The sequence below is a fragment of the Homo sapiens genome, chromosome 4, assembly GCF_000001405.40.
Source record: "Homo sapiens chromosome 4, GRCh38.p14 Primary Assembly".
NCBI classification, from domain to species: domain Eukaryota; kingdom Metazoa; phylum Chordata; class Mammalia; order Primates; family Hominidae; genus Homo; species Homo sapiens.
Window position 1 is genome coordinate 38356898 of NC_000004.12, and position 9987 is coordinate 38366884.

Genomic DNA, 9987 nt, shown 5'->3' on the forward strand with positions numbered 1-9987 from the left:
CTTTTATGCAGATAAAAATATCCCAGACACTCTCTTCACTCCTCACATCCTTACCCAGTGGCCTAGAGCATATCTCAAATGAGCCTGGTAGATCATTTGATCACAACTCAAGTCTTGGTGTCCAGTTAACCTTTTTTGAGACTGTTGTTATGTACTCAGCCATGACATTGTCTTCCTTAAGGTGCATGGGTTAGGTGACACATCAAATCATTTTTACCTTTAAGGAATTAAGATGAATATTGGTGAAGTAAACTTGCCAGGGCCACCCTTCTGGTTTTCCTAACTTCCCTAACTTTTAAAAATCCTTCACTCTTTCCCTTTCATCTACAGGATAAAATTCAAACTCCTTGGTATGTTTTATACCAGAGGTTGGTAAACTTTTTCTGTAAAGGATCACAGAGTATATATTTTAGGCTGGCCATAGGGTTTCTGTCCACTGCTCACCTTTGTAGTAAAGAATGAGGAAGCAGGCCGGGCATGGTGGCTCATGCCTGTAATCCCAGCACTTTGGGAGGCCAAGGCGGGTGGATCACCTGAGGTCAGGAGTTCAAGACCAGCCTGGCTAACGTGGTGAAACCCTGTCTCCACTAAAAATACAAAAAATTAGCTGGGTGTGGTGGCATGTACCTGTAGTCCCAGCTACTTGGGAAGCTGAGGCAAGAGAATTGCTTGAACCCGGGAGGCGGAGGTTGCAGTGAGCAGAGATTGCACCACTGCACTCTAGGCTGGGCGACAGAGTGAGACTCTCTATCAAAAAAACAAAAAAAAAACACCACCACCACCACCAAAAAGAATGAGGAAGCCGCCATAAACAATATGTAAAAGAATGGACACAGCTGTGTTTCAATAAAGCTTTATTTACGAAAACAACTAGCGAGCCAGATTTGACTTGAGGGCCATAGTTTGTCTACCCCTGCAGTTCTTCAAAAGCTGCTGCACCCTAAATTGTATACTCCATCTTCAGTCACACTGAAGTTCTTATACTTTTCAAATTCACATGCTGTTTTAATTATTTGAGCCTCTGCATAGTCTATATGTTTTGTTTGCATGCCTTTCTCCATCTTTTCTCATTCCATTATCAGGTTAGCAAACTCCCATGGACAGCAGACCATTCCATATGAGCTACTGGCAACACTTACCCCATTGCATTGTAACTATTCATTAATTGACCTGTAATTAACCATTGATGTGATCACAGCTTACTGATCATAGTACCTCAAGGAACATACTTGCTTGCTGCATACTTCCAGCCAGTGCTGTCACTTTGTATTACATCAATCACACCCTGTTGTAGTGTGTATGTTTCTGCTTGCATATTTTCTTTGGCTGCTAGGAATCCCAGAGCCAAAATAGAGGCTTCATGTCAGCCACCATAGAAGACTTTACAACATGCACATGTGTGTTTCTCTCCTCTATCCTAGGCCACCTCCTTATTCGGACATATTTCCTGTAGATCTGATATTTTGTTTGCATTTTGCTATTTTATGTGGGCATTGCTTAAAAGCTACCTCAAACATTTGTATAAAAAGGCAGGATTCATTCATTCATTTCTTCATCTGCAACTAAGTCATATTTCCCCTTGATCACTTTTTGTACTTTTTCAAAGTAGAAACACTCTGTATTTTTACCTAGAACCTAGTGATGTACTTAGTATATTGATGACATTATTTCAGGAATAATTGTGAAATAAAATGAATAATAATAGCCAGAAGAGAAATGGATAAATAATAAAATTTGCTAATTTGAGGCTTATCTATATATTATTAAATCCAAAGGTAACAGCTATAATTGTGTAGAACTTACACTAATACAAGTTTTTTGAGGAAAGGCATTTTATCTCTGACATGGTTGAAGACTGTTCATGATGTGGTGATAATAAAAAGTAACCATCTCTTAATTGGCTTTATTATCGTTTTCAAATTCTCCACAGAAAATGTACACCTACTCCCCCCCACCACACACACAGGCATGGGTGTGCGCGCACACACACACACACACACACACATACACACCAGATATTCAGAAACATCATTGCTAGAACCTAAACTGGTGGATTAAAACTTCATATTTGGAAGTTTCAAGTTAAAAATACAGGAAAGTGGTATCCACATTGCTTTCTGGGATTCATTTTTCCTTTATGTTTTAATAAATAAATGTCTCCTCACATAACAGCTAACCATCTTCAAGTGTCACATCTTCAACCCTTTGGTATGCTAATACACTTAGGTTGACTTTATGGTGTCAGAAATGTTCTAATATTACAGTTTAGCTCTAGACTTGGATGCTTGATCCTTGCTCAGGTAAGATGGCTTTCTGAATTCAGAAGAAAAATGAGATATATAGATCAAAACAAATCGGCACGCAAAAACCATTCTCTAAATGAGTCATGGGAAATGAAGCTTGTTGACTAGAACTTGCTTTATTAAGACTGAAATTAAGATTTACATCCAGAAGTAGGTTTGATGAGAGCCACTAGAACTGGCATGCTTTGAGAATGACAGCAGAACAACCTTTGTGTTTATCTTGCAAAGCAAATGAACTTCAGTTAAATGGAGGCCAGAGAGGGATGCTGAATGTGTTCATCTGAATATCTGAGGTTTGAAAAAAATCTCCTTCTTGTTTGAACCATATCAGTTCATTTTCTAGCCCTGGTACATATAAAGGACCTATGCCACGATTAACATTCAAGAACTGCTTAGCCCTCCAGCATGTTCATGTCAACACCTGTAGAATACTGTAAATGTGGAGGGGGCGCAGATTCAATTCAAAGGAATTCAGTGTGTTTCCCAAGGATCTATTATGACTAGACTCAATGTGTTGATGTGACCTACTCTAGGACAGATTTTAGTTATTGCTTACCTATTGGCTTTCATTCCATTAAAAAAAATCTGGATCACGGCTTCCCTGGTTGTCATTTGCTTCTTTCCTTCTCCTCTAGACAACAGTCCAAATAACTATGTGCTCAGGTAAGTTGGTTTCATTTAATTGAACCAGATAGTGGAGGCAATTGTAGTCATTTTATATAACTTTTGCATCTAAAGAAGCCATTTAGAAATATTCAGGTACAAATCCTACAGGCCATCCCCACTCTGTGCCTATTGAACCTTCGTGAGATTGTCATGCTCCCAGGCTTTAATGGATACAGTTGAGGATCACACGCTCTTAGTATGCCCAGAAGGATCATTGAAATTGGGCTGTAGTAAACACCTCTTGTTAGCGTTAGAGGTACCCTCATCCTGACCCAGTGAGCCTTCCCCACTGGCCTCTCTCCTCCAGCAGATAACAAGATGTGGCATGCACAATGGAAGCTTCCTTTTCTCTTGGCAGATCCTGAATGGAGCCAAGGGGAACAGTTGCAAAACAGAAAATTGACTATGATGGAAGACTCTTTGGTGCTACATCTGATATGATTAACAATTTATTTTGGCAACACCCAGGATGGGTTTCATATGGTTTTCCTGAATTCAACAGGATTCCTGCCAGCAGAATCAGGAACACTAAGAAATAATCCAGGCTGAGGGAGAAAAAAAACAACATGCCATCTTGCAAAGTGTTTCATAGCGTTGACTCTGTGATCTGGAAAACAGCCATTGCTCTCAATCCCTCTATTTCCAACTGCTCATCAACTATTGTCTTCCCAGTCTTGGGTTGATAGATGGGCTTATAATTAGCATGGTAGATGGCCCAGAGGAGAAACCATTGTAAGAAGGGAGATGAAAGATGTGGCAGCCAAATATTTTTCAATACACAAATATTCTTAAAATATGGATGTTCTATCCAAGTTATCATCTGTAAGAAACACAATTGCTACATATTGTGGACTTTCAGAGTTAACTGCTCTTACAGGAATCTACTTTTAGGCTGAAAGAAAGACTATTCTGCTGTACAGAAATGCTTCTCTCCCAGAATTGAAGCTTCTATCTCTGCAGAAGGACTTCTACTAACATAATATTCTTGGGTTTTCTCTGCTTTCCAACCTTTTTTCTTCCTCAGGGTGGGTTTGAAGGAGGACCTGGGCATGCATTCCTGAGCTTCTTCCTCTTCTGTTTCTCCTGGGAGTGAGCCCACCTGCAGAGAGAATAAGTCTCCATTGCTCCCAAACATGGGAGAAGCCTGCTGGGGAGACCTGGCCATGACTAGATGTGTGTCTACAGTAGGAAGCCCACCTGCTTGTACCTATAAGGCATGTTCTAAAATATTAGCATTAGGAAGCCACTTATTTGTACCTATTAGCCATGTTCATAATATTAACATCATCAATAATAAGGGTGATGTTTGGGTCCTGTTTTATTTCTCAATTGGTTCAAAATATAGGCAAGGGCAGGGCACAGTGGCCCATGCCTGTAATCCCGGCACGTTGGGAGGCCGAGGCAGGTGGATCACCTGAGGTCAGGAATTCGAGACCAGCCTGGCCAACATGGTGAAATTCTGTCTCCACTAAAAATACAAAAATTAGCCGGGCATGGTGGTGTGCACCTGTAGTCCCAGCTATTTGGGAGGCTGAGGCATAAGAATCGCTTAAACCCAGGAGGCAGAGGTTGCAGTGAGCTGAGATTTTGCCATTGCAATCCAGCCTGGGTGACACAGACAGACTCTGTCTCTAAAAACAAAACAAAACAAAACAAAAACATAGGCAAGGAAAAAAGGTGTTAATTAGTGGTTCCCGCTATGATTAGAATATTTGTCTCCTCCAAAACTCATGTTGAATTTCAATCCCCAGTGTGGCAGTGTTGAGAAATGTAGTCTTTAAGAGGTGATCGAATCATAAGGGTTCTGTCCTTGTGAATGAATTAATTCATTAATAGATTAATGGACTAATGGGTTAATGGATTCATGGGTTAACATGGGAGGGGAACTGGCGACTTTATAAGAAGAAGAAGAGAGGCCTGAGCGAGGATGTTAGCACGCCCAGCCCCCTTGCCACGTTATGCCCTGAGCCACGTCAGGACTCTTCAGAGATCTCCCCCCAGCAAGAGGGCGCTCACCAGATATGACCCCTCAACCTCAGACTTCTCAACCTCCATAACAGTAAGAAACAAATTCGTTTTCCTTATAAATTACTCAGCTTCAAATATTCTGTTATAAGCAACAGAAAACAGACTAATATAGGCCCCCTACAAGCCTCAACAGATGCTCAGCCAGTAGCCAATTTCATCTGATAGGAAATATGTTTTCACATTGTTTTCTACTTATCTTTCACGTTAGCATTTCCTTCACCTTGCACTGGATTAAAAGAAACATCTTGGTATTCAGCTTTGGACTTATGTAAACAAATAGGCTGCAGAATCATATGACTATGACATGGGACATCATTTGGCCTTGACATTTTGCCTTAGGCCTTGCACACTCCTCTTCATTCACTCAGAGGTCCAAGACTGTCCACATTTCCTTTTATTCTTCCTGTGGTGTACATTCTCAGGATTGTATTAGAGAATATTAAAGTGTCTAAGCCTGGCACAGTGGCAAACACCTGTAATCCCAGCTATTCCAGAGGCTGAGGTGGGAGGATCACTTGAGCTGAGGAGTTGGAGGCTGTAGTGTGCTGTGATTGAGACTGTGAATAGCCACTGTACTCCAGTAGGGCAACAGAGTGAGACCCCACCTCTAAAAAAAGATGGAAAAAAAAAATAAAAGCTTCTTTATCTGGATAGCAGTTAGATGGACTTGAAATTGGCAATGAGACTCTGCTTTGATCTTTAATTGCGAGGTCAGTCAAGAAGGGCATGGCCGTGATTAAATTGAATATTAAAACTAGAGAGAAGGAGAGAGATGCCAAGAAGGGAAAGTCAGCTTCTAACCCCCTTGATCTGCAGCTAAGAAGTTTGTAAATCAGTATTTGCAGAAGAATATTGTTGAGAGTTTACAGTATCAATGAGATACCAACAAATTAGGACATGTGTCCATGACCATAACACATAATCGATAAAGTAAGGCCCTAACATTAATTGTTCCCAAACTTTTTCATCCACATTATCAAATTTGATCCTTGCTCTGTGAGGTAGACAATATCATCCCCATTTTAAGAGTTTGGCAAACCGAGGCCCAGTGGGATAGAGTAACTTGCTCAAATTTCTCCAGCGTGTTAAAATCAGATTCAAACTGAAGGAGGTCAGGAAACGCCACCACAAAATACATTTTGGTATGCTGATTACTTCGAACTGGAGGGCACTTGGAGAACAGTGGTGCAGGCAGAGGTCTTCTCTGAGCTCTCCTTATCCGCCTAAAGACAGATCCTCCAAAAGGAACGCAACCGTTATTTCCTCTCTCTGGGAATCTTATCAACCAGGTAAGATTAATTTCAATCACAAGAAAAGAGACTACGGATTAACTCCATGCCCTGACGATAGCCTGTTCTTCTGAGGGGTGCAGAGTCTCGTAATCTGCATAACAAGACAAGCTTTGTTCACCTTGTATTTCCTCCCCTCACCTTCCCATTCCTTGTGTCTCCACCACCCACTAGAAGCCCCAGGCCTCTATTCCTTTCTGTAGCTCTGGATACTATATAAGCTTCAATCATCTGATCCTTCTTTGAAACTCATATTTTGTAGAACTCCCATGTGTATGTATGTAATTAACTATGGTTTTCCTTCTGTCAATCTGTCATATGTCCATTTAATTTGTAGCCCAGCCAAGGAACCTCATTCCTTGTGTCTCCACCACCCCCCAGAAGCCCCAAGCCTCTATTCTTTTCTGTGGTTCTGGATGCTATATAAGCATCAATCATCTGACCCTTTTTCGAGACATATTTTGTAGAACTCCCATGGGTATGCACATAATTAAATATGGTTTTCCTTCTGTTAATCTGTCATATGTCCATTTAATTTGTAGCCCAGCCAAGGAAACTGAAAGAGAGAAATTTTTCACTCCCCTACAAAACCTGTGTTTTCTTACTTGAAGTACGGTGGTCTTTTTACTCTATTACTACTGCCTCTCAGCCTATATACTTGAGAATAAACTGAAACATTAATATATTTTAAAAGGAGTAGATAAAACAGCTGGGCTTGACATAATTGAATTTTCTTATTGAATATATGGTGGACAACATAATGGATTTCATGACGTGATTTGAAAGGTGACTAACACTCCTTTGGTTCTGTGATGCACAACGATAAAAAAAGTAATGCAGGCCGGGTGTGGTGGCTTATGCCTGTAATCCCAACACTTTGGGAGGTTGAGGCAGGCAGATCACCTGAGGCCAGGAGTTTGAGACCCGCCTGGCCAACATGCTGGAACCCCATCTCTACTAAAAATACAAAAAATTAGCCAGGAGTGGTGGTGGGCACCTGTGGTCTCAGCTACTTGGGATGCTGAGGCAGGAGAATCGCTTGAACCCAGGACGCAGAGGTTGTAGTAAGTCAAGATTGCACCACTACACTCCAGCCTGGGTGACAGAGCGAGACTCTGTCTCAAAAAAAAAATAAAAAATAAAAAAATAAAAAAATAAAAAAAATAAAGAAAAGAGAAAAAGAAAAAGGAAAAGAAAATAATGGTGATGTAGTATCATTTGAAAGACATTAGGGCTTACTTCATAAATCTTTGTCATTCACATTTGAAAATTATACTGTTGAGGATATGTCTGTGTTGTGCATGGGTAGCTGAAACCTGATATTGGCCACGTTCCATTTTATCTACATTTAAGTGGGGATTAGACATTTGACCCCAATAAATGGAATCCTAGTGCTCTAGGGTACATAGAGGATATTCCAGAGCATTTGGTCGCTTAAGTGAAGAATCGTTTGTCTGAACTCTAATGAAAGAGAGAATGAGGTTTTGAGTGACACTGACTAGGTAGAGGCCTGGAAAGTAACTTGGTGGTTGTTGGTAATGAAGAGGAGGCCCAGCCTTAGGTACCAGAATGTCAGCAGGTACCCATAGCTAACACCTAATTAACTCCACATCTGTCCTCTGTTGTTCCTGGCCCTCTGCCCTTACTCCCACAATGCCTGAGGCTCTCCTCTGTATACCCCAGCATCTTAAACAATCCAGGCTCTCTCTGCTCTCCCCTGTCCATGCATCCTGAAAGTCCAAGCCTACCCTAAAACCCATGCACTAGCACCATCTCCTCATGGGACTGAGGACGGGACCTTCCAAGGGGGTAGTAATAGCCCCTGAAATGTACATAACTCTCAATGCCTTGTAAAGCCCTTTCATATATAATAGCTTATTTGATGTTCACAATTTATCCATGAAGCAGGCGAGGAATATTCTGATTCTGTTTTATGGACGTGAAAGTTGAGGTTCTCAGAAGTAAGGTAAGTGGCAGAACCACCACCATCTACCACATCTTTAGGATCCTTTCTCCTCTACAGTGATTCATAAACCTCTGTACCAAAGGCTCTTAAAAGTCCATGGGAATAACTCCACAATGATGATAAAATAAATTCCCCTCATTGTAAAGCAATTTTTTAAAAACCCATAAAATTATATTAAGTCTATTGAAGCTAACACTGTATTCAAATGCAATAAAATAACTATATAAATGCTTTGCTTAAAAGGACAGCACCCTAATTAAGAAGATTGTTAAAAGGATGGAGCATATGAATACATCTATTACACAGGATTTACTAGAACTCTTTGTACCCACAGCAATAAAGTGGGACCAGCTGTTGCCTGGAACACGGAAACAGCCTTATGAGGTAGAAACTGGATATTATAGTGATTCTTCTTAAAAATGAAGGTGCTTGCACATTCTCTGGATTCCTTCTTACATTTTATTTCATTCAAGATGTATCTTGTATATTTTATGCATCTTCTGTGTCCCAGCTTCTGCATTTGTGGGCAAGCTATCCTTGAATATCCATTTCATGCTTGAATTTGCAGGGCTAAAGACACTTTGCAGCATTGGCTCTTTCTGCCTCTGTAAAATGACATCTTTGTTTGAAAAGCCTTTTTGTTTTTGATGGCTACAAATCCAAGAGACTCCATTTCCAAAAGTCCACTGCCTGTCTGCATTTTTGGGCGTGGGATTCATGATGCCTGTAAAGCGTTCTTCCTTTGTTTACACTTCTTTCGCTGTCTCGGACTTTAGCTGACACTTGGCTCCATGCCATGGTCATGGGCTCTTGTGCCTCTGCTCTATTAGCGAGGCATCTTGTCAACATGGTGGGCCAGCAAGCGTACTGGTGAGATTTCATGCATTCCCTCTCTGTGACATTAGGATGGTGGATGAAAAAGGTAGAAGATAGGTCTGTGCTGGGACTAAGTGCATGGTGGTAAAGGTTGAGTATTACAGTCCACACAGCAAGACAAGGCTCTCATCCCACCTACTTTAAGAAGCAATCCCCAATGGGCCAACAGTCACTAGTTTCCCCGGAGGAGTCATCTCAGCACTTTGAGATCCAGTTTGTTTTACGGTACTCTCCATGTTGCTCTCTGGGTAAAAGAGCATTTTTCTTCTGGTTATATCATGTCTGGGTGTGGAAAGGGGAGTCACTGACTCTGGCTTCACGCTTGGGGTGCTAGCTCAGGTTCAGCATAGAAAAAAGAAAACCATTACAAATATAATATTTCAAGCAGAAAGAGATTGGCTTCATCTAGGAAATTCAGTGCTCACAACATTTTAGAAGAGAAGGAGTAGTAAAAATCAGCTTCTGGTGTTTTGGTTTCAAGATCAACCACTGTTGCTATAAGCTAGAGGTCAGAAAACCTGAGCTCCTGCCACCTCTGTTCCAGACACTGGTGACCAGGGAGTGGAGTGCAGAGCCCAGTTGTTGCTACTTGCTTTTGTTGGCACATCTTGTCTGCTGTCACAGCTGTGGGAAAACAGTCTCCACCTCTCCTCTGCCTTCCAAATAGCATGAAAGTTCATTTCACTGGCAGAATTTAAATCTCACCCAGAACCCTGGCTGCCTTCCAGACCCTTGGAGGAAACACAAATGAGAGTAAGAGTAGATGTCTACTGTCAGCAGATAATATCTAGTATGGCACTTTGGTTGCTGTTTAGTGACTTTTTTTTTTTTTCTTTTTCCCATAGGAGGATAAGGTGAG

General features: G+C 41.2%; 3 annotated features.

The window, feature by feature from the left end:
* Nucleotides 639-863: a silencer, noted in NCBI's record as "fragment chr4:38359157-38359381 (GRCh37/hg19 assembly coordinates)". NCBI's record gives its function as "represses an EF-1alpha promoter that drives an FKBP-Casp9 reporter gene in an ReSE screen in K562 erythroleukemia cells {active_cell/tissue: K562}" and the evidence as "EXISTENCE:reporter gene assay evidence [ECO:0000049][PMID:32094911]".
* Nucleotides 9598-9677: an enhancer, noted in NCBI's record as "active region_21432". NCBI's record gives its function as "activates an Ori minimal core promoter by ATAC-STARR-seq in GM12878 lymphoblastoid cells {active_cell/tissue: GM12878}" and the evidence as "EXISTENCE:reporter gene assay evidence [ECO:0000049][PMID:35858748]".
* Nucleotides 9798-9937: an enhancer, noted in NCBI's record as "active region_21433". NCBI's record gives its function as "activates an Ori minimal core promoter by ATAC-STARR-seq in GM12878 lymphoblastoid cells {active_cell/tissue: GM12878}" and the evidence as "EXISTENCE:reporter gene assay evidence [ECO:0000049][PMID:35858748]".